The 25,037-nt window shown below is 46.8% G+C and overlaps 1 protein-coding gene across 3 annotated transcripts in view, besides 2 other annotated features; it reads right to left on the bottom strand.

Moving 5' to 3' along the window:
* SLCO3A1 (solute carrier organic anion transporter family member 3A1) overlaps positions 1 to 25,037 on the bottom strand; it is a 318,728-nt gene that overhangs the window by 69,660 nt on the left and 224,031 nt on the right. For all 3 annotated transcript variants that reach the window (NR_135775.2, NM_001145044.1, NM_013272.4), the window contains exon 3: positions 7,797 to 7,895. Coding sequence is in view for 2 of the 3 variants with exons in the window: in NM_001145044.1 (NP_001138516.1) it covers positions 7,797 to 7,895 (99 nt within the window). In the remaining variant the exon portion in view is untranslated. The remainder of the gene's footprint in view (positions 1 to 7,796; positions 7,896 to 25,037) is intronic.
* Positions 11,108 to 11,844: an enhancer, noted in NCBI's record as "NANOG-H3K27ac hESC enhancer chr15:92634162-92634898 (GRCh37/hg19 assembly coordinates)". NCBI's record gives its function as "activates a minimal SCP1, AML or CMV promoter by ChIP-STARR-seq in primed H9 embryonic stem cells {active_cell/tissue: H9 hESC(primed)}" and the evidence as "EXISTENCE:reporter gene assay evidence [ECO:0000049][PMID:30033119]".
* Positions 20,380 to 20,429: an enhancer, noted in NCBI's record as "active region_10111". NCBI's record gives its function as "activates an Ori minimal core promoter by ATAC-STARR-seq in GM12878 lymphoblastoid cells {active_cell/tissue: GM12878}" and the evidence as "EXISTENCE:reporter gene assay evidence [ECO:0000049][PMID:35858748]".

Here is a 25,037-nt window from a genome sequence, read left to right as displayed (position 1 = left end):
TTCCTGCTCTTTGTGCCATGAGCCTAAGGCCACCAGCTCTTCCAGTAGGTAGCAAGTGGCCTTTGGAACACTGGTAGTCACTGTCCTGGAGATGCTGACATACACCCAGCGCAACAATAGCACTACAATGGACCAGATGTTTCTGCATAGCTACATGCTGGAGAGGGGACAGTGTAAGCCTGGAGTACTTGGGGGCCGAATCCCAGCTCTGCCACTTACTAGCATGTGACACTGGGCAGATTACTTACCCTCCTTGAGTCTTAGCTGCATCATTTGCAAAATAAAGACAGCTTCAACCTAGAGTGGTTGCAAGGATGACAGGCAATGAGCAAGAATCACCTGATGCACAGTAGGCTCTTTGTATAGAGAGAGATCTTGTTATTCTCACTTTTATGTACATATATGTATATAAATGAGAATCTCAAAATAGGGATCTTTTTAAAAAAGGGTACAGCATGGGAAAACACAAGGTGATCTTGAAAGCATCTTTATGCAAATGAGGGAAGACACAAGGAAGTGAAATTGCCTCTGGTAGCTGAACAGGAATATTTTCACTAGTCACTTACTGTGTTTCTTCACCTGCTGCCAAGCAATGAATGAAAACAAAAGACAGCAAAAGGGAGCTGAAGTATTTCCCTCCATTGTCTCCAGGCTCCATAAAGGGGGAATTGAAAAGCTGGCAGATGTGAGCGGGTAAAGAGAGAGAAATCCTAGCAGTTGTTTGGGGGAACAAAATTAGAAAAGTCATATTTTAGTTAGGAAGTTAGTGACTCTGTTGTTCTAAGTGTGAGAAAACAACCCAGGGAGAGGGATGGCGATGGGGGAGGTGGTGGTTTGTGTGAACGTGTCAACTTGCTTCCTGTAGGTATGTGTATGTCTGGGGAAAGCTGACGCTGGCTCACAGTTTGAAAGATGGGGAAGGGCACGTCACCTGTGTCAGAACCAAAGCCCGCCTGCCACCCGGGCAAGTACAGGAGACGGGGCCTGCGTGAAGGTGGTGGACAGCAGGATTCTGTAGATCCAAGACACTCATCACTGACTATTTTGGGAAGTATTGATTTTTTTCTCCATTTCAATTATCCGGAGCACTGTGGCAGAGAGAAATAACATGCTGAGAGAAACTGCTCAGCTGTGGAGTGTGCTGCCCTGAGGGCGGGGGAGGCTTTGGTGAGTTTGATCTGGGGAAGACGGCTACTGGTTGGACCCGTCTGAGAAATGTCTTGCCTCTGTCCATCTCTATAACAAATACTAATTTTTTTTTTTCTTTTGAGGTGGATCTCGCTCTGTCGGCCAGGCTGGAGTGCAGTGGTGTGATCTTGGCTTACTGCAACCTCCACCTCCTGGGTTCAAGCGATTCTCCTGCCTTAGCCTCTCAAGTAGCTGAGATTACAGGTGCCCACCACCATGCCCGGCTAATTTTTGTACTTTTGGTAGAGATGGGGTTTCACCATGTTGGCCAGGCTGGTCTTGAACTCCTGACCTCAGGTGATCCACCCGCGTTGGCCTCCCAAAGTGCTGAGATTACAGGTGTGAACCACTGTGCCCAGCTAACAAATATAATTTTTATGAGGTATTTTGGCTAGTTTTGGTGAAAAATCTCCCTCCACCTGTTGGTAATTGTCCGTCAATGCTCTACAGACACTGTTTCAGAACTAGGGATATTGAGGGAGAGTTCTCTGTGTGGCTGGAAGAGGACGGTGTGGTAGATGTTATCAGTGTCTGCATTGGATCCTCTTCCTCTGAGGACAAGGAGGATGACACCTCCTCACTCTGTGAAGTTAGGTGTAACTATAAGCCACAGAGCTCTGCCTGTGAAATGTGAGCAAGGGGACATATATCACTTCTGTGTGGAAGTGTGTATGAGCTGGTACATGACTCCACCCCCTCTTTCCTCCTAAGATGGTATCTGACAGGCTACAATAAATGAAATGTCCCTGTTGACCTACACTGGATGTAGCACAAAGAAGAAAGAACCCTTTAGTATTCTAAGCTGCTGAGAGTTGGGAGCTGTTTGTTACCGCAACATAACCTAGCCTACCCTGACTAGTACAAAAGGTTTAGGAAATAGAAATCCACGTTCTATAAGAACAGCAGTCTCAGGCAGGCTTGGCATAGCAAAAGTATTGTTTTAGATAAAAGTAGGGAGGAAGGCTTGAAAACCTCTTTACTTCTCTATTTGGTTCTAGTTAGTGTCTTAACTTTAAAAAAAATGGCTGCAGTTTCAGCCTTCTGGCAAGGGCTGCTTTCAGTAAGATGCCCAGAACAAAACTGAAAGCACCAATCTGTCTCATTTACTTAGATGCATTCAATTGCCAACAAAACTAGACACATGGATGAAGAAAGATGTTGAATAAAATGAGGTAGAGACAGTATCCCAGGCTGAGGGAACAGGCTGAGTCAAGGTGTGGCACATTCTGGGGACTCTAAGTAAATAGGCTCAACTCCCTCATCAAGCCACTAATCTACCCCGTGGTCATTCCAGATGATGAGAACAGATGCCATTTCATTCGGAGGGAAGTCTGGTAAAGGGGACAGGAGAAAAGGGTTGCAGAGTAGAGCAAAGAGCCATACACTGGGTGTACCATGAAATATCTGTCATGAAGCCAGGCACAGCTTGGACTTGTCTTGACATAGGTGTCAACAGGCATAGAAGGTGTTTCTCCTTTTCTAGATCCATTTTCCGTTTTTTTGTTTTTTGTTTTTTTTTTTTGAGATGGAGTTTCACTCTATTGCCCAGGCTGTAGTGCAGTGGTGAGATCTCAGCTCACTGCAACCTCCACCTCCTGGGTTCAAGCAATTCTCCTGCGTCAGCCTCCCAAGTAGCTGAGATTACAGGTGCCTACCAACACGCCCGGCTAATTTTTTTTTGTATTTTTAGTAGAGACAGGGTTTCACCATATTGGCTGGTCTGATCTCAAACTCCTGACCTCAGGTGATCCACCTGCCTCGGCCTCCCAAAATGCTGGGATTACAGGTGAGAGCCACTATGCCTGGCCTTACAAGATCAATTTTTCTAACCCTTCCACTCTTTGTATCTGACTTCTGGGTTGTTCTTATTTCTTGCTTGTGTTGGGTGAATTGAGAGCTGTTGACAGCTGTTTGCTCTCTCTGTCAAAGGTTAACTGAACTAGGAGGCTCATGGAGATTTCCACCCATTTCCAAGATCAAATGAAAAGTCACTGGAAATACAGTTAAACCAGTTTAAAACTAACCAACCAACCCACCCACACGCTCATGAGGATACTTGAGATTGTGAGAAGAGGAGATCAAAGCAAGTTGGGGACATTTACTTCTTTTTCCTGTGCCATATGGACTTTTTTTTTTTTGTAGTTCATTTACCCATTTGTTTAACCTATGTTGCCAAACTTTTGCTATGGGACTCAAGAATTCCAAGAGTATCATTAAGTTACAAACCTAATTAGAAACTGGAGACAGGAAGGGACTAAGGCTGGAGGGTGGCATTGAACATCTAGAATCGCAGCCATTGGGCTAATTAGCCCAAAATGAAGGAATCTAGCAGTAGCAGCCAGCCCTCAGGATGGCAGAGCAGGAGGCTCTCAGTCTGTTGACCTTTTTTGTGAAGCAAACAGATGGCCACATCTTGTTCCAGCTGCAAACGCCATGCAGCCTTCTGCGAGGCCGGCTGGTGTGTGCCTCAGGACAAGTCTGCATGGATGTGCTGGTGAGGCTAGGCCATCTCAGCAAGGCCTTTGTCCATGGAAGGGAGCCGCCTTCTGGCTAAATTCCTGGAGATGTTTCAGGGAAGCCAGCTGTTCTGTTAAGAGTGGGGCTTTGAGGTCAGACAGGCCTGGGGATGAATCCCTGCTCTATCCCTAGCTGTGGAAACTGTTAACCTCTCTCGGATTTCTTATTATAAGTATTTATTGTGTGCTTACTATATGCCAGGCACTGTGCTAAATGCTTTGCATGAGTAACTCATGCCATCCACACACAGACTCAGGATGTGTGTGCGATGTCCCCAGGATCACAGAACTCATAAGGGGGTGTAGTCAGGATTCAAATGGAGTCTGATTCCAGTGCTTGAATTCTTAACCACTGCATGATAATGCCTCACCTAACAGTAGGATCTACACTCCCATGAGAATGTGCTGAGGCTCCAATGAGGCAATCTATGTATAGCTTTAAGAAGTGACCAATTCATGGCTGCTGTTACTACTAATCTTTTTGTAATAAACCCACATAGTTAAGGTTGGCCAAGGCAGTGATTAGATATGTACTCTGCTACTAAGTCCGTTTTTTCAAGGTCCTGTTCTCACCTGGGTTTCAGTTAACAAAGAACCTAAAAAAGAAATTCTGGAGGCACCATCATTTCCTCCCCCAGCTCTCAGGGGAGGGATTTATTCTCCCTGAGCTGAGGAGCAAAGGGAACCACGTAGCGATCAAACATGGATGAAAGGCAGCAGCGGGAGCAGCCCATGTCCAAGTGGAGCCAGCTGGGACCTCCAGGCAAGGTGCCCCGTGGGGGCTGTCACCCCAGAACTGGCCCATGTCTACAACCAGCCCTCCTTGGCACCCCAGCTGCATCTACTCACAAGTTTCAACCAGGCTTCCTCACTGGATTCTCCTCTCAATGCTGGCACCAGGCTATGTGGTGGACGCCGCCTTCTCTCCTCCATCTACCCCATAACGAGGGCCCTCTGTGGACCTGCCTTGCTCCTTCCCCACAAATTTTAGGCTGCTGCTTTTCCTGGACCCCAATCTCAGTGGGGACTTCAGAAACATGTGTCCACGTGTGTGGCCCTTGCCTATTAATGCCTACAGTAATGTTCCCATACATTGGACAGCCCTACAGAAGAGCACTGTTTTAGGAAAGCAAGGAAAAGATAGGGGAGGCCCTAAAGCAATTAAGAATCCCCTCCTCAAATACAGCCCAAATCCACCTGCAGGCGGCAAGTTTCACAAGACTAGAAACAATAAAAACTGCTGGCAACTATAGAATTCTATGGCTGACTCCCTAAATAGGATAAATGATATTCTTCTGCCCTCTACCGGTAAAGAGCTGTGCCACACGGTGCCTCACGGTGCCTCCGGGAAGGACGCAAACAAAGACCGTGACTGACAATGCACCTTGCATTCTTTGGAAACAGAAAGGGAAGTCCGCTATCAACTTGGTGGGGAAGCCTGTCATCAGCGAGATGCCCACACGGGACTGAAAGGAGCCCACCTGCCTTACATCCATGCAGGCACCAAGTAGCCAATGAGCCTGGAACCATGGATCACACCGCTCCACCCTGGGCCTTAACGGGCAAACAGAGATGCCGAACACAGTAAGATGGGAACAGCATTCCAGGCTGAAGGAACAGTCTCAGCAAATGGAGGGAACTGGGAGTGGATGGGCTAAGCCCCCTCCAGCCATCTGTCTACCCGCTGGTCATTTCAGGCACTGAGAAAAGGTGCTGTTTCATTCTCCTAAGAGAGTTTGGTGAGTGAAATCTCCACAGGCAGGCTCAGGAGATCGGGGTTTTATAGAGATACATTCCTTGGATTGGGGACATCCCTTCCCCTCTCTGTGACTTGGTTTCCTCATTTGTAAAATGAAAGAGTTGGAAAGGAATGATGTCTGAGGCTCTTTCCAGCTCAGATATTCTGGTCATTCGCAGGCTTTTGGTTCAAGGCCACCACTGATAGCACTGAGGGCAAAATATGCTATCTGGCCACTTTGCTACCCTTCAAGGTGGCTTCCCCATTGCATCAGGAGTATGCCTCCTCTCTATCCCCTCTGCTGGCCCTGTCTTGTGCTGCCTTGGGTGCAGTGGTGGAAGCTGGCCTGTCTATACGAGCAAGATGGAAACTGACTCACTTCATGTGTCCTGTGTCTTCCCAGCCTACCTGTTACCACACTCCCTAGGAAACGGGTTCAAAGGGCCAGCCGACGGCTGCAAAACACCAGCACTCAATCACCTTCGGAACAGACTCAGCACTTTAAAAGTATAAATAAATAGGGCTGCCTCTGATTTTTTTTTTCCACTTGGAAATTTGTAACATCATTAGCTACAAGTAAATATATCAGTAGGATTAATGGAGTGAATCACAAAGCGACTTGGATTTAAAACCACATTATTTCTTTGGGGTGAATTAGTAAATTTAGCATTGTCAAGAGATGATGGATTGAGAACCTGGGGACTGAGAATTCTTACTGATCCTGAGGATAGATCGGCATGAGAAGCAGAGGCTGGAATGGCTTCTCACCCTCTGTTTTCAGAGAGAAAGGAAATATGGCTTTGCTGCATGCTAAACTACATGGAAATATAGTGTTCCTTTTCAGACACAAGGTAGAGATGTGACAGCACATGGTAGGCAATGACCCAGACGGTCCCCTAAAGTCCCTGCTGCCTGGTATTCTGGTCCTTGTGTAATAATCCCTTCTCTTTCCATAGTAAACCTGAACAAGTGACTAGCTTCTAACAAACGAAATACAGCAGAAGTAATGAGATGTCACTTCTGAGATTAGGTTATAAAAAGACTGTGACTCCTGCCTCAGGTGCTCTCTCTCACCTTCTCTTGGGTTGTTTGCTTCAGGGGTGTCACGGTGAGGTAGTCCCCTCCTGTGGGCCCATGGCAGTGAGCTTGGAAGTGGATCCTCCCCAAGCTGAGCCTTGGGATGATCCAAGACCAGGTTGCCACCTTGCAACACCTTGACTGCAGCCTCATAAGAGACCCTGAGCTAGAACTGCCCAGTGAAGCTGCTCCTGTATTCCAGACCCACAGAAAAAAATACGAAAAACAGTATGATAAGAAATGTCTGCTGTTTTAGGTCATTAGGTTTGGGGTTATTTCTTATGCAGCAACAGGAAACCAATACACCACGTGACTTGCTTTGGTTAATGAAATATGAGGGGAAACACTGTATGTCATTTCTGAGTAGAGGTTTCAAGGGCCAGAGTAAAACTGGTTTCCTGTCTTGGTAACTGTGCAAGCTGGGGTCAGGATGGAACTTCTGTGGGCCTGGGCCTGGGGGGCTGAGAATGCTTATCGATCCTGAGAGTAGATCTACAGGTCACCACGATGAGCCAAGTCTCCCTGACCCTGACACTGCTGACCTACACTGCATATGTAGTGTGACCAAGAAATAAACCTTAGTTGTATAAAATCACTGAGGTTTTGGGACTGTCTGTCACCACAGAATAGTCTAGCCCATCGATCTAGCATCCCATTCAATCCCACAATCATGGATTGGGGAACTCAGGGTATTCTGAGAAATGCACTTGCACTTCCTGCTAAGAACACAGGTTCTGCTTAAAATGGTTTTGAATGTGGATATTTCCTCACAAAGGCCACCACAACAGTGTCTTCTAAAAGGATGTTCCAATATTCTGTCTCATTGACCCCGTTTGTACACTTGCACCTCCAGAACACATGCTCCAACTTTTAGTTTGGAAAGTAGGATCCTCATATAGGTTAATGGGCCCCCACTCAATGAGGATATGCCAAGCATTTCTACACAGACACTCTCATTAAATTCTTATCTGCCAGGCCGATGTAATTATTGTTACCCTTTATTTACAGATAAGGAAAATACAGATTTGAGGAGTAAAATCAGCTATTGGGGGTTATTCAGCCTCTAGGTAGATGTTGGCAGAACCCAGACTTGAGTCAGGCCCTCTGAACCAACACTCACGTTCTTTCATCTAATCTCGGGTGAGCCCCAGCTACAGAGGCAGGGGCATCAAGACTGTCTCTTAGCAAGAAGGTTTTAGAACCCACAGGCTGAAGCCGCATTTATGAGGGAGGAAACGCTTGCGGATGGAAGGTAGACATGGAGATATATTCCTTACTTGTGTCAATGAAGACCGCATCCACGTAGATTTTGGTACAGAAAGAGCCCAGGATAAACCCGCAGGCTGGTCCAAATACCAGCATCGTGAACAGGATTCCTGAAGGAAGATGAAGAAAAAAATAGATTACAAAACAGAAGCTATTCGATGAGCAAAATCACCAAAGGTCAAGGAGATTATTTTACATTGATGAGATGAGATGACATTAGGAATTCATCTAAAAATCCTAGAGGGGAAAGGCTGAATTTCTAATTTTTGGAAACTCTATGAAAGCACTGTATATTATGCTACAATTCTATAGTATTTCAGGTAGGTTGCTTTGAAATTTGTGTCCCTTACTTTTAGAGGACTTCACCCCACATCAAACATATTAAAATACATCCGCATCTATCATTAAATATTTTTTCTGCCATCCACACTTTTGAAAAGGCTTTTATAATTTTGCTTTTACATTTACTTACTTTTATGTAACTTATTTAATTTATGGTTGGCTAAGATCCCTTGACACCCACTGTGCAAACTCAAGAATTTTTTGTGAAGTGAGGATAATCTATGCCACAAATTATTTTCAAATATAATAAAACGTTCAAGACTCCGAAATTCAGCAAATAACAAAGTTCACACGATGGTAAATATCTAACATTTAATTACACATTTATTAATTTCAATTCTTCAATTTCTGTCCACGTTTTGAAGTCATTATCTGTTTCCACTGTTGTTGTGGCTGCTTGTAACAGCTGTTCAGGAATTAAGTGATTCTGTAGCACTTGAGAAAATGGCAGGCTCTGGGCAGTGCTTAAGTATCTGATCGATACAATACCTGGTATTTTACACAGAAATTTTAGGACATTCTGGGAAAAGTACTGATCCCAAATTCAAACCCACAGGCTGTATCTATTTAAATTTCAATTTGGTAGACATTTCTTGAGCACTGACAGTTCTCCAGGCCCTGGAGGCAAAAATAAGAGTCCAGAAAGTGGCCCTTCCCTTTAGAAGCTGGCCATCTGATGAGGACAGTCAGTGCATGGGTAATTCCAGGCCAGGCAGCTCCAAGGTTGGGTGCTAACAGGCCACACGGGCACCTGGAGAGCAGGGTGAGAGATGAATGTCACTTGCTGGGAACCTAAGCCCAGTGGAGGGTAGCTCTCCAGCCTAGTCTGTTCATAGGCGTAGACCAACTCACCCTAAATTCTCTCGGTGATGTCATTGTGGAACCAATCACATATTCATCCATTCAGTCAAGTTTTACTGAGCTCCTTCTATGTGCCAAGTACTATTCTCAGGGTTGGGGATTCAGCATTGAACCAACCAGTAAAAATCCTAGCCTCGCTGACTTGAAGCTTTCCCTCCTCCGAACTCATTCATTGACTTGAGGTGGGGAAAAACAACTTAAACTACACAGAGGAAGGCAAATGGTTTTTAAATACCGGGCAAAGGAAGCCGCGTAATATAGTTTGCATGTTTGTCCCCTCCAAATCTCATGTTGAAGTGTAATCCATAATATTGGAGGTGGGGCCTAGTGGGAGGTATTAGATCATGGGGGCAGACCCCTTATGAATGGCTCAGCACCGCCCCCTTGGTGATGGGTGTGCTCTCACTCAGTTCACACAAGATCTGATTGTTTAAAGGAATCTGGGACCTCCCCTTCTCCCTCTTGCTCTGGCTCTCGCCACGTAATGTGCCTGCTCCCCCTTTGCCTCCTGCCATGATTGGAAGCTTCTGGAGACCTTCACCAGGAGCAGATGCCAACACCATGCTTCCGGTACTGTCTGCAAAACCCCGAGCCACTCGAATCTCCTTTCTTTGTAAATTACCCAGCCTCAGGTATTTCTTTATAGCAAGGCAAGAATGAACTAACACACATTTACACACGGGAACCCAGAACCCTGAAGCAGTCATTTGAACGGGGCTTATAGGAGATGTCTGATGAAGGAAAGAATGAAGAAAATGTTTTATATCACAGAAACAGGGCTGAGTCCACCCTCAGCAAAATCCTACTTGGATGCGAAGAAATCTGGAAGTTCCACTGTTTCCAAATAGTCACTCCATGGCCAACCAGAAACTGTAGAATCTTATTTCTGTTAATAAGGTGCATTTTAGAAAATGAAAATGTGTCACTTTGGAGAGGAGTGACGTTCACATGATCAGCACATTATCTCTGGTTTGTCATAACTTTAAGATAACCAAGCACACAAAGTTGGGGGCAGGGGATGTTACTGGAAAAGATCTTTCGGAATGGGCTAGAATTAGGGGGCTCTATTTAGTGGGGTTGTGGTTAGGGAGCAGAGCAGCAGGAAGAGGATCTGAGAAAGCAGCAGGAAGTAGAGGGCATGGAGAACAGTTGTCCGAGTCAGAAGCGGCACCCACACTAGACCAGAGAGATTCCTGCAAAGTCCTGAAGCCAGTCATATCCTCCCATCCAGGCTGCAGGCTGTGGTAAGCCAGCAGTCAGAGTTACTGGCACTCTAGAGACGGCTCAGCAAACAAACTCACTGCTCAGGCCTTCCCAAAAGAACGGGACACAGAGCACAGGGATACAATTCTCTTGCCATGGGTGCTGTGCCTACCCTTCTTGACTCATCTGCTGTGACTCCCGGCACCTCCCCCATCACCCATAATCATAGCCCTTCTTCCCTTAAATAAATCCCCCAAGCAATGTATTCGTCACTGATCCATGCCCTACAGACTGAATAATGAGAATTATTATTAATACTTAATGGGTCAAAGGACCAAGCCTTCAGCATCCTTGGAAAAACAGAAACAACCAACAAGCTGAAGGGGTTGCATCGAGACTGTGCTGTTATCCCCATGCTTGGGGACAGTACAGTTGAAAGTGAGGACTAGCCAGACATCATAGCACAATTGGGGTCCCAGGCCTCCTGCCCTCTTGCAGAAAAGGAGGGGCGTCCCTCAAGCTGCTGGCCTCAGCTGTCCACAGGAGCCCCACAGGGCCCAGATGGGCCAGTGACTGGGGATGGTGGCTTGAACAGGGAACAGCAGTGGCCTGCTGTGGAGACACCACACCCTGAGGCAGCCTCTCCACCAAATTCCTCTATGAGAAGGTGTGGGTTTCCAGAGTTTGGATTGTGGCTTTTTCAAGGTCCTGTTCTCATCTGGGTTTCAGCTGAACAAAGATAAGCTAAAAAGGAACAGGACGGAGTTGATAGGACCCCACGCCAAACACCAAAGACATTGTGCACACGTATTTTGGTATAAAAGGCATCTTCCTCCTCAGGTGCAACCTCTGGTCACTTTTCTATGTCGCTCCTCGTCACACGGACCTCAAGGTAAACCACCACCTGCAACGCGTTCTCGAACCTTTTTCAAAGGACAGTCCGGTGGTGGGACGTGGGAGGGGCCTTCGTGCATCGGGAAGTGCCTTCAGAAATATCTTAACAACTGAAACGAGCAGCTTCAGAAGGCCCAGATGTGCAAGGCAGGTTCTGAGCTAACAACGGTTATGCTGAGCTTTCTTCCTTGGTTTCCCCCTTAATTCATCCTGCCAGGCTGTGATTTTGTTCTTGTTTTGGCAAAGCCAGCTCGAATGTTCTGCCTGAATGGAGGAGGAGCAGATTGCCAGGTACTGAGATGCAGGATCCCTGTGGAAGGAAGGGCCAGCGCCTCCAGGTGCAGAACCTTCTGCAGCGGCCCGGTGCTGCCCCCTGCTGTCTTCCAGGTTCATGTATGTCGGTGGGGAGGAGAGCCTGGGATTCCCTAGTCAGGGAGGTCTGAAGGCTTTCTTTGCTACTACCCTGGATAATTGAAAGCACTTTACATGCCTGATCTCCTGGAAGCCATTCAATGACCCCAGGGGGAAGTTTACTGGGCCTGTTTCACAGCGGAAAAACAGAATCTTAGAGTGGTTCAGCACCTGGCCCCAGCACGTTGCTAGAAAGCAGCACAGTGGGAAGGATTGCCCAGGTTTTCTAACCCCCTAAGGGAAAAGTCCAGGTGAGAGTATGAACAGCCTGGGTTCAAATCCCAGCTCTACCACTTCCCAGCTCCATGAACCTTTGGGCAAAGTACATTTAACCTCCCATGCCTCAGCTTCTTCTTCTGTAAAGTGGGGGTAACAATAGATCGACTTCATGGGGTTGTGGTGAGGATTGAATGACCTCCTATTTGCAAACCTCTTAGAAAAGTGTCTGGCATACAGAAAGACCCAGGGAAGGGTTTGTTAAATAGATGACACCTGTGACTCTCCTACAACGAGGGCTGGCACCCACCTGGGTTCCCAGTCCTTCTCTTTCCAAAGCTCACTACACCCTCCATACCTCATTTCTTAAAGCTATCTTTGGGGGAGAGGGGCTGGAGCTGGGAGCAGGCCAGGCCCAGGAAGGAGTTCTTGCTGGGAAACAGCTGTAATCTCAAGCCTCATCAGCATCCAGACTGACTGGATGTCCGGAGTCCACCCCACTGATCTGCTGCTTGCCAAGCCAAGCACATTGGCACACTGGGTTGCCAGCCCGACCTCCCAGGGATGAGATGGCTGGACAAGGGGACAAGGGTTTGAATGCAGTGCTCCCCTGCATGGTGATCTGGCTCTGGCATTCTGTACACAGGCCTTCAGTGAATTAGCACAAATCTTCAGTTTACAGACTGTGCTGGGACACCATTGGGTACTGCAGTGAACTCACAGGGGTAAGGCAGAATATCTTGAGTTTCTAAGGGAAACACAGCAATACCTGACATCTCTTGGACATGTGAATCTACTATCCCAAGGTAGCCTATGGTGTCAACACTGGATTTCTTTCAGTGACATTACATCTTTGTGAGCTGAGTTTTCCATAGTTGCTGTGAGAAAACCAAGTGTGGAAATCAATATGCACAGAAAATGAGGGTGGCAATGTCCAATCTGATTCCAAGGTTTCAGAAACTGTGCAGTTGCCAACAGGGACACACATCCCATTAGTAAGCGATTATGACTAAAATATATATATATTTTCTGTTGATACGTATCATGGTTTTCGAGCAGCTACTCTATGTTGTGAGGATAGCAACACTTACTAAGCAGTATGAGCCTAACTGCTTGATAAACAAAACTACTACGTATTTCTTTTGGACTCAGGACGCTGTGAACCAAGTAAGTTTGGGACCCTCTGTTGCAAATTTGCCTGAGAAGCTTATTATCTCAACTTATACCCAGATGATGAAGAGTTTCTGCCCATGACAGATTAGTCTAGGTATACACTACGGCAAATTCCTTAAGAAAACGACCTCCAGCAAGACTTCCTGGTGGTGAGTCTGCCTTTTCCCGCACTATATAATCTTTAAATTCAGCACCAGCCACCTCTGGACCCTGGGGAAGAAAAGATAACTTGGACAAGAATTTTGCCCTCAAGAAGCTTCCTGTCTTATTAGAAAGACTTTCCACCACTCTCGGTCAACAAATACCCACTGAGAACCTCCTACTTGCTAGGACTATGTCAGCAACAGTGAACACTATGGGACATAGCAGTGAACAAAACAGATGAAAACCTCACCCTTGTGGAGTTTGAAGAATGGCAACAAACACAAATCTATCACATGATATCAGGAGCAGTACCAAGATGAGAGTACATGATGGTGAGGGGCTACAGGAAGACCCCACCCTGCACCGAGTCCTCCACACCATGTGCCACGCAGTGTCAGATGAACTTTAATAAAGCTGGGGTGGCTGGGCGTGGTGGCTCACGCCTGTAATCCCAGAGCTCTGGGAGGCTGAGGCAAGCGGATCACGAGGTCAGGAGATCAAGTTCATCCTGGCTAACACGGTGAAACCCTGTCTCTACTAAAAATACAAAAAATTAGCCGGGCGTAGTGGCAGGTGCCTGTAGTCAACAGCTACTCAGGAGGCTGAGGCAGGAGAATGGCGTGAACCCAGGAGGCGGAGCTTGTAGTGAGCCGAGATCACGCCACTGCACTCCAGCCTGGGCGACAGAGACAGACTCCATCTCAAAATAAATAAATAAATAAATAAATAAATAAATAATAAATAAATAAATAAAGCTGGGGTAAGTGGACTCACAGGGGTTCCACTACCATGGCAGGAAGAACAGTGGCCCCCAAAAACCTCCACATCCCAATCCCTTAAGGCAACTATGTTACCTTAAGCGACCAAGAGGAATTAAGATTGTAGACTAAGAGATTATACTGCAGAGTCCCCATAGGCACAATCTTATCACAAGGATCTTTTAAATGTGAAGAGGGAGTCCGAGTCAGAAATGGGGATGTGATGGCAGAGCCAGAGAGACGGCATCATGAGAAAGAGCTGACTAGTCATGCTGGCTTTGAAGATGGTGGATGGCCATGAGCCAAAGCTTGTGGGCAGCCTATAGAAGCTGGAGAAGGCAACAAAACAGATTTTCTCCTCCACGCAGGATCACAGCCCTGCCAGCACCTTGATTGTAGCCCAGTAGGACCCAATATGGATGTCTGACCTCCAGAAGCGTAAGATAACAAATTTGTGTTTTACACTAAGTTTGCAATAATTTGTTACAGTAGTGATAGAAAACTAATACAATCGTTAAGCAAATCTGGGTTAAACTCCAAGACTTCTCAGATCTCATAAATGCTAATATGCATGAATGGAATATTGCACAAAGGTTTTGTGTTAATTATTTGACCACAAAACATTTTTTTGTGTGTGTCATTTCTCAGTCCTGGTGTTGACTGCAGCACAGTCCAAGAGACACTGTTGTAGATGCTAAGCCCCTCAGGCAGAGATGATGCTTTATTCTTCTTTATATTCCTATTTCGCCCCAGTGCTGATGGACAGTAAGTTCGCTGTTTGTTGAAAGGATGTGTGGTTGAGAGCACTAGTCACAGTGGCCATGCAGAAGAAGGAGTGAGTGACTCTTCTTGGCAATTGCTTGCCCAGGCTCACCTGGCCAGTTGGTGGCAGAGCTGGGACCCAGACCCAAACCTCCTCTTTCCCTGACCAGTGCTCTTTCCCCAAGTCCCTCTGCAGATGTCTCTGTCTGTGCTGTGGACTCTCCCACTCGATGTACCTCCTTCTAGATGCAATCCGACCATGGGACTCACTAAGTCTACAAGAAGGGTCAGGCTAGGTGCATGTAACCAGAAGAATTTGGAAAATACAACTGGAAACTTGAAATTTTCTGGTCCAGGAAGAATTATTCAACTTTAATACTATTACTGATATAAGATAATAATAGATGGGGCTGGGCGTGGTGGCTCACACCTCTAATCCCAGCACTTTGGGAGGCCGAGGCAGGCAGATCACCTGAGGTTGGGAGTTCAAGGCCAGCCTGACCAACATGGAGACAACCCCGACTCTACTAAAAATACAAAATTAGCTGGGCATGGTGGTACATGCCTGTAATCCCAGGCACTCAGGAGGCCGAGGCAGGAGAATTGCTTGAACCTGGGAGGCAGAGGTTGAGGTGAGCCAAGATAGCGCCATTGCACTCCAGCCTGAGCAACAAAAGCGAAACTCCAGCTCAAAAAAAAAAAAAAAAAAATAATAGATAATAAAAGTACTAGGCAACATTTTGTGTTTGTGGAATGTAGCAAGGTGATTCTAAATTGTTCATAGAAATGCTAAGGACCAAGACCAGTCTAGACATGTTTGAAGAAGCACAACTGTTGTCAAGACTTTCCCTGTTGGGTATCAGGACTTCTTTTAAAGCCAAGGTGCCTCTGGCACAAGAAATAACAAATATAGCAATGAAGCAAAAGAGAAGCCCAACAACAGATCCACACCCTTACAGACACCTGCTTTATGACAAAGTGTGCACTGCAAAACAGTTGGGGAAAGAATGGTATTTTCCATAAATGGTGCCAGGACAATTTGCAACTATAGGCGGTGGGCGGAGGGAGGGGGGTGGTGGGGGAATGAGCCTCACCTCACAACACGTGCAAAAATCAATTCCAGGTGGATCAGAGACCAGAGACTATAAGGGTGAAAAGGAAAACATAAAAGCTTCTAGAAAATGACAGAGTAAAGTACCTTCATGATGTTGGGGGTAGAGAAATATTCCTTTTTTTTTTTTTTTGAGACGGAGTTTTGCTTTTTCACCCCGGTTAGAGTGAAGTGACTTGATCTCAGCTCACTGGAACCTCTGCCGTCCCCACACCAGGTTCAAGTGATTCTCCTGCCTCAGCCTCTTGAGTAGCTGGGATTACAGGCGTGTGGCACCATGCCTGGCTAATTTTTGTATTTTTAGTAGAGACGGGGTTTCACCATGTTGACCAGGCTGGTCCTGAACTTTTGACCTCAGGTGATCCACCCACCTTGGCCTCCCAAAGTGCTAGGATTACAGGCATGAGCCACTGCGCCCGGCTGAAAGATTTCTTAAAACAAACTTAAAAAACACTAGCTATTGAAAGAAAAGACTGGACTACATTACAATTAACAACTTCATTATCAGAGTGAAGCTGATTTATCAGAAGAGTTCACCAAGAATGTGAAAATGTGGGAAAATACATGTGCAACACATATATTTTTATAATACATGTAAGAATCAAGGAGTTCATATGTAGACTATATAAAAACTACTATAAATTGATGAGAAAGAAAAAAACCAGGAGAAAAATCGACAGAAACCTTAATAGGCATTTCAAAAAACAGGAAATCCAAATGAACAATAAGATATAAGAAAATGGTCAGTCTCATTAGAATTCAGAGAATTATAAATTTAGACCCCAATTAAATACGAGTGTGTTTCAGCTGGTTAAAGAGTCTGACACTACCAAGTGTTGGCAAGGATCTGAAGCTCTCCTACACTGCTGGTAGGAGTGTAAATTGGACAACACCTTGGCAAAACTTGGCAGTGTCTGAAAAAGTGAAGATAAACTAATCCAATGATGCACAATTCTGAGTCCTTGGTAAACACCCCACAGCAAGTGTGCTGACGGACTGCACATTCTTGGAGAAGCATCCAAGAATGCGCACACCAGCATTGTTTGTAAGATTTCCCAACTGGAAACTATCCCAAATGCCCAACCATGGTAGAACAGAAAAACATACTGTGATCTCCCGTACTCTGGAGTTACTCTACAGCAAAGAAAACAGATCATCTATAGGTGATCATCAATGACATGGTTGAAGTTGAAAGAACACGTCCTGGTGTGAGTCTACTTATGCAGGATTCCAAACAGCAAAGTTAACTCTTTAATGACAGGGAGTCAAACTATAAAGAACACCAGGGAAAGGACTATTACAGAAGTCAGGACTGTGGTTACTGTCGGGGGAAGGGAGGGTCCTTGGGGACAGGTGGGGAGGAGATTCTCCAATGCTAGTTTTGTGGTTGATTTGTTTATAGACTTCATGGGTATTTATTTCACAACAACGTGTAAGCTGTGTATCTACGTTTCAGGCAAGAAAACGTGATTTTAATATTTTTAATACACACGTATGCACATGCGTGATATAAGTACATACACACAAATGGCTATTTGAGTGCCTGCTGTGTGACGCCAGTTGGACTATGTGATTCACCAATGTTACCTCAGGATTACTCCCAACTAGGCAATGGGTTGGGTGCTACCATCCCAGTTTCATCCAAGAAGGCATGAGGCCCACTTAAGCAGCTCGCCCCGGGGCACTTGGCTTCCAGGCAGCAGCTTAACCACAATATGCCTACGCAAAACTGGGTCCCCAGTTAGCTCACGTGCAAATAGACAGGGTTGAAGAACAAAAACAACTAAACTTTGCTATTCAAAGGCAGCTCCTTGAATCGAGGAGTCCATTCAGATGCAGGCACACGGCTACTCTGAAATCAAAACTTACAGCAGGGAAGCCCAGTTGCCCTTCAGAGGGCAGGTGGGGTGGGATTCAGAGTGGGTTCTACAGCTGGACTGGATGTGCGTCCAAGTACTACCAACTTAACTGCCTGGAAACCTGGGGAGCCCCCTCAGCCTCTCTATGCTGGTTTGCTGCATCTGAAAAGTAGTGTGCTACTAAGACATTTTATAGGGCTGTGGTGAGTAATAAATGAAAGCAATGGTGGGGGCCCAGCCCTGGCACAGATGAAGCACTTCATAAACATCAGTTTCCACTGATGCTCCAAGAGGAAGACTCCATGGCACCCATTCTTGTTCTCCCTCCTTCCGCCTGGCCCTGCGGCTTCTGCAGGCTCACTGGAAGGCCTGCTCTTGGAAGAGATACTATCACTGGCTGGCTATGGTGGTGCATGCTGCATTGTTTGAGAAAAATGTTGACCCTTCCATGTGAACCTTTATTTTTCTCTTTGTCAAAGTGTAGCATGGGGCATGGCTCCTGCGTTGAACAGCCTGTGGGGCTGGGTGAGAGGAGCACAGGCTGCCCGAGGAGCTGCAGGCATCTGCTACCTGCTGGCATAAACTCTTTATGCCCCTGAGAGCAAAGCCAAACAGGCCATCCAGAAACCCAGGGACTGCTATCAGCTCCCCTACTCACTTTGCAATTAGATGCACCCATTCGTGTTTCTGACCCTCAAGGTCTCCTGGGGTGGAAAAGGACAGAGAGGTACTACTGACCTTGAGGGAGGATCGGTGTCAAGGCTCTGCTGTACTGGTGTGTCTGTGAGCATGGTACAAATGCTCCCTCGGCCTCAGTTTCCTCCTCTGTAAAATGGGATGACAACAATCCCTACCTCCTAAGGGGTTATTGAGGGTCAAATACGTAGTGCACAGAATGCTTCTGATCAATTCCTGGAACACAGACATTCTCAAAAACCATCAGCTGTTATTTGTTCTTCTTACTGGTGCCTCTAACAGCAGGATTTTCTTTTTTTATGACGTTTTAAATCACTTAGGTAAACTCTGCTTTTTTTAGAGAATGTGGAAAATACAGGATCATGTAAAGGATTAGCATCGTTCTCATATTTCCCTTTAGGCATTATTATATTTGTACTGTCTTTCTTCATATGCGTTTATCATTCCTGGAACCATGTAAGTTAATTTACAAACAAAACCCCTTTTCTTCATTTTAAAAGCAGCACATGCTCATTAAGGATGACTGAGGATAAACCAAGCGTAGAGAGGCAGAATAACACAGTGGCCAAGAACACAGACCCTAGAGCTGCATGGCCAGGGTCTGCAGTCACTGGCTGTGTGACCTTGACAAAGGTACTTACCTACTCTGGCCCTCCATACTCTCACCTGTGAGTGAGGTTAACAGTACCCACCTCGCAGGATTGTTTTGAGGTTTGGGTGATTAGTGCCTCACAAGGGCTTTCCACAGCGCCTGGCATACAGTAAGTGCTCAATAAATTTTAGCAATCATTATTACAAAGATGACAGCACAAATCACCATCTCTCACCACCCAGAAACACTGACATGCATTTAGATCTTCCCTTCTCGTCTGTTTCTATGCACAAGGCTTATTTCTTATGAGTAATTTTTAATAAATCCCAACACAGTTCTCCTAATGACAGAAAGCTTAGAGACAAATACGATTCTCTGAAGAACATACTTCTGAAGAATACAATTATCTATTGCAATAGAATTTCAGGTGCTGATAGAACGGAACTGCAAGGACCAGGCACTTCTCAGCTGTCCTTGGGAGAGTGGTGAAGGGAGAACCTACTGTACCCAGGAGTCACGCTGCCCTGCACTCAAACCTCTGCTCAGATCCCTTCCTGAACGTGGGAAGGGAGGGCACCTGAGGACAGTGAGATCTCACATGACAGTCAGTCCTGACTTCTTAGCAGTGACAGAGACAGCACCAAGCTAGCTGGGCAGCAGAAGGGCAGAGCTGAGGGTTCTGTACTTGACAAAATGAGAGATCCCTTTGGGGGAAGCCTGAGGTTTTCTTTAGAGGAATCTTGAGATTTGCTTGACTCAACTTCGAGGAAACAAGAAAACGGTCTCTCCTATAATATCTCGCAGGGCTGGTACACACGGGTGACGGCTTCTACCTCTTTACAAGGAAAGTGATCATTTCGTCTGATTATAAAAGTAATGCATTCAGCAGGGGGAAAACACAGTTTTCCTACCATCCAGAGGCAGTCATTTTCTTCAGCTCTTTCTCTGCCCCTTCTGATTTATTCAAGGTCAATCATTCTCACTATGCCTTGATAAGGTGAGTTTATGAGACTCTTTTTGTAGATGAGAATACAGAAGCGCAGAGAGATCAGTCAGCTGCACCAAGGTCACACAGCTTGTACATGGTGGAAGTGGATTTTAACTCAGGACTCCGGGACCTAGTTCCTAGAGAAAGAGCAGGTATCACGGCACAGTGGTGAAGGCGTGAGAATCAGCCAAGGCTGATTCCTACCAGGCTGGAATCCTGGTTACATTTCTCAATTTCTGGAAGATTCACTTCCCAACTCTGAGTCTGGGAAGAAGGGTTATCAGTCTTGTAGAACAGTGAGAATTATATGTAATGCATGCAAATCTTCTGATATCTGGCATGAATAGAAGCTTTCTAGAATTATCTTTGTGTTTCAGGAACAATGAGTCCAAGAATGGGGGCGTGCATGGCTGGTCTCCCTAGGCTGTTTCTTTGGCTGGACTTGGAGTAATTTTAACCCTAGATGGTTCTCGCAAGTGGGAGGAGTGAGGAGGAAACGCGGGTTGGCTGTGACTCTGCCCCACTAGAGGGCAGTGCTGACCTAGGAAAAAGAGCAATTCCAGGCTGCTTGAACATCCTTGGCCTCCACTTCCTAAATGCCTGTGAAACCCTCCGTCAGGGCTTTGCGTTTCTCATCACCCACTTGCCTTCGTCTCCTCAATTTATATAAATGTATTGCCACATCTTAAATCTGCAGGCTCAAAGTTCTCCCCTCAGAGGGAGCATTCTGCATCATATGTGCATGAATAAAACATGATCCATAAACAGCAGGAAACCTGCAATACACATTTATCTGGTGCCTGCTGCCAACAGCCTGCCAGCATTACATAACTGACCTTGCTTATGTCTGAGGAGGAGGTGAACAGGGAAGGAGACGGTGAGGAGGTGACCATTTATTGAGCACAAATTAGGTGTTAGACACTGTGTAATAGAATTATCTCCATCACAAAGTTTACAAACAAAACCAAACACTAATGTTACCAAATCCACACAGTACATGACAGAGCCAGAGCATATGTGCCCCTCCCCACATTACTGCACCTGTTGACCTCTTAGATCAGATACATCAATGGGGCTCAAACTGGGCTGCACATTGGATTCACCTCAGAAACTTGTAAAAAGAAAACACCAATCCCTAGGTCTCACTCCTGGAGATTGTGATGAAGCTGGTCTGGAAGACACACTAGGCAATGGGCTTTTCCCAAAGTCCCCAGGTGATTCTACCTGCAGACAGGTTGAGAATCCTGGACTAGAACCAGCCTCTGCCCTTGCTGCCCTTGACCAGACTTTCTCATTAAAAAGCACCATCAGTGGGCTGGGTGCAGTGGCTCACACCTGTAATCCCAGGACTTTGGGAGGCCGAGGTGGGCAGATCGCCTGAGGTCAGGAGTTCGGGACCAGCCTGGCCAACATGGTGAAAACCTTATCTCTACTAAAAATATAAAAGCCAGGCATGGTGGTGGGCACCTGTAATCCCAGCTACTAGGCAGGCTGAAGCAGGGAGAATTGCCTGAATCTGTGAGGTGGAGGTTGCAGTGAGCCAAGATCGCACCAGTGAGCCGAGATCACAACACTGCGCTCCAGCCTGGGCAATAGAGCGAGACTCTGTCTCAAAAAAAGGAGAAAAAGAAAAAAAAAAGCACCACTAGTGGTACCAGCACTGACCAAAGAAATAGCTGGTACCCAAAATGCATTTGGGAGGTAAAGAGTAGAATGATGGTTACCAGAGGCTGGGAAGGGGGCAGGGGAGGTGGGGATGGTTAATGGGTGCAAAAATATAGACAGGATGAATAAACTCTAGTATCTGATATTGCAACAGGGTGACTACAGTCAACAGTAATTTATTTTACATTTAAAAATAACTGAAAGAGTATCACTGGAATGTCGGTAACACAAAGAAATGATAAATGCTTGAGGTGATGATGGATACCCCATTTACCTTGATGTGATTATTGCACATTGTAGGCCTGTGTCAAAAAATCTCACGTACCCCATACACACACACACACACACACACACACACACACACACACACACACACAGCTACTATGTATCCATAAAAATGAAAAATACCTACCTTCCCCCGCCCAAAAAAAATGCATCTGGGCACATGGGCTAAAGGAAGAATATGGACACAATTTGATATTCACCCTGGAAGGTGGAGGGGCAGCCATTCACCAAATGTGGCCAGACCAAAGTCACTGAGCATGGTGACAGAACCCAAATCTCTCGTAAAGCCAGCCAAAGCAGCACTGTATGCCGCCACGAGTGTGAGCACTCAGCACAGAACTCTGCCTGGTGTACCCCGTGTGGCCTCTGGGGCACCGAGTATGGCCCCTACTGCTGTCTGGTATGGGCATGGGCCTTGCTTATGCTGGTCTTCAACCCAGTTTCTCCTTCTCCTCCAGGGCCCTAGCGGTGCATCAAAAACTGATCCTCCATTCAAAGCCTGCCTTAAATACCACCTCCTCCAAGGGGCCTTCCTAGATTTTCTCTCATCCTTCACCTTCTCTCTTCTGTCATAGTACGTGACCTGAGACTTTTTCTATAGTTCTGCTTCTAGTTGGACTGGAGGAAAAAAAAAAAAAAACTCCATGTATTGGGCTTGCCATAATAATTGTAGGCTCGGGAAAAGCAGAGACCCTGTTTAAAAAAACACAAAAATCACCTTTTCCATAGGGGCAGTACAGCCCTGGAGGAGGGACTCCGTGTGTGTTGAACTGTAAACTGATTACTACCCAGGCCTGGGAGGGGTAGGAAGCCCTGGCCTCATGGAGAATAATTTGTATAACGATATCCCACAAAGCTAGACGACTTCAGGATGCTCGGGGAGGATCTGCAGTTGGTCAAAGCCGCAGCTGTTGCCACTCTGGGCTTCTCAACCTAGCTGAAAGAGGCATCTTTTCTTTCTCTCCAGGCCCAGCCAGGCCTTACCAGGGTGAAGGCACATGCCTCTCTGGCTGGCTAGCCGCAGGCCGGAAATCCATCCAGAGAAACAACAGCTTGTGCCTTCCTGAAGGGCCCGCATTCTGTGTGTGAGCCCAGTGGGGTCCTCCCAGAAGCTCTCTAGGGACATCCTCTCAGATGCAGGTTTTGCAGGCTCCCTGCTGTCCACACCCAAGCCCCCAGCAAGGGGCAGTGCAGAGACCGCAGGACCTTGTGTCTAGTTCAGGCTTCAAAGCTCTGCAGGACAACTTAGCAACAGCAGGAGGCTGTGCTCGAGGCACTCACCCCTCAAAGCCTCAGCAGCTCCATCTGGAAAACAGGGCAGTCACCTGCCCTGCTCTCCCCCTATTACGGGCTGGACTGTGTCCCCTCAAATCCATGTTGAAGCCCTGGCCGCGGGAACCTCAGCACGTGATTGTGTTCAGAGATAGGGCTTTTAAAGAGATTATTACATTACAATGAGGCCCTTAGATGGGCCCTAATCTGATGGGTGTCCTTAGGGATTTGGACCCAGAGACACCAAGGAAGCTCAGGTACAGAGGACAGACCGTGTGAGGGCACAGTGAGAAGCTGGCCGTCTGCTGGCCAAGGAGAGAGTTCTTAAGAGACCCATGGCCAACACTACCATCTCAGGCTTCCAGCCTCCAAAACTGTAAGAAAATGAGTGTCTGTTGTTGAAGCCACCCAGTCTATGGCATGTTGTTATGGCAGCCCCAGGAGACTAACACAGCTCCCAAGACCAGAGTGGGGATCATGTGGGCCAACACTTGAGAGGGTACTTGGAAGCTGTGGTGTGCCCCCTAGTGGCATGGAGTACTAGATGCATGTGGTGGGCCATCCAACGTGAATGCAGCCATCCCAGGGCCCCCAGATGTCAGGATAAAATCAGCACCTTCATGGGCATTGCTCCCTGGTTAGGACTGGCCGGGTGGAAAACTGCCAGGGAGCTCTGACCTGTGGGACCATTTTACTCATTATCGCTGGACCCCCTCACCGTGCCTAGCAAAGGGCAGGCTTGGAAATAAGTTTCCTAAACGTGGTACACAAGATAAACTGTTTCTCACAGGGCGCAAGCTCGAGTATGGCAGATGAGTCACAGGACATCAGTGAGGGAAATATCCCCATTCATAGCGTAGGGCCAGAGCTGGGTTTTGAGGCAGGTCTGTTGCTAGTGAGGATGACGGTGCTGATGCCTAGTGAGCTGAGGGCTGAGTTCTAGCACATTCCATGTACTACCTCATTTAATCGTCGCCACAACCCTATGCGCAGATACACTCCCATTTTAACGTAAGGAAACTGAGACACAGAGAGATGAAGTAACGTGCCCAGTGATACATGTACAGTAAGTGGGAAGCTGAAATAAAAACAAAGCAGAGGACTAAAGAAAGGGGAGGAAGAACAGGAAGAAGGCAGGAACAGCCTGGGCAAAGCAGGAACAGCCTGGGCAAAGGCAGAGGTGTGGGAGAGCCCCAAGATGTGAGGCAGACAGTAGACGGAGACCCTTGCAAACAAGAAGAGTCAGTGGTGTGGCTGTGTAGGAGATGGCTGGGCTGCAGCTGCCCGCGGAGGTGCGCCGAGGTCAGGCTATGACCTGCCTACAGCAAGAAGCACAGCAGCTCCTGGGCTCAGGTGTGTCCTGCTCAGGCTATGTGGCCTCAGGGAGACACCTGCTATGGAGTGCTGCTGTGGAGGTCCCTGAGGCTCGGAAAACCTTGGGGATGAGCCCAGGCCTCAAGGGCAAGACCCAAGTCAGGCCCTGTGCTAGCCAGCTCTGGTGCTCCCAAAAGCCAACTTGTGTAGTTCCCAGTTATTTCTCACTCTCATTCACTAGCATGCTCAGGTGTTCACTCAATGGGGATATAGCGAACTAACTCGGTTTCTGCTGCTCCACAGTGGAAAGCCCACTGCTACCTCGAGATCCAGCTCTGTTGATGCCATGAATAATGGCAACAACAAAATCATTCTTAATTAAATACCCGCCATGTGCTAGGGCCTTTAGACACTGCATAGAATGTAATCCTCACAACCCCGAGAGGCAGGTGTCTTCACCATCAGTTTATAAATGAAGAAATGGAGGCACAGAAAAGTTACATTACCAGCCTGTGGCCACACAACTGCGTAGGAGCCCAGGTCCTGCAGGATCCTGCACTTCCTCCCACTCAGAAAGGGGAAATGGCAGCAGAAGGTTGAGGGCTTTGGAAATCCCTCTAACTCTAAGCTAATTTTAGAGAAATCTAATTAATTCCAAAGGAACCAGCGCCTGCAGAGTGCTGAAGAACCTGCTCAGAGCCATATC

This window comes from Homo sapiens, chromosome 15 (assembly GCF_000001405.40).
Source record: "Homo sapiens chromosome 15, GRCh38.p14 Primary Assembly".
Lineage (NCBI taxonomy): Eukaryota > Metazoa > Chordata > Mammalia > Primates > Hominidae > Homo > Homo sapiens.
This window is presented reverse-complemented; position numbering and strand designations above follow the sequence as displayed.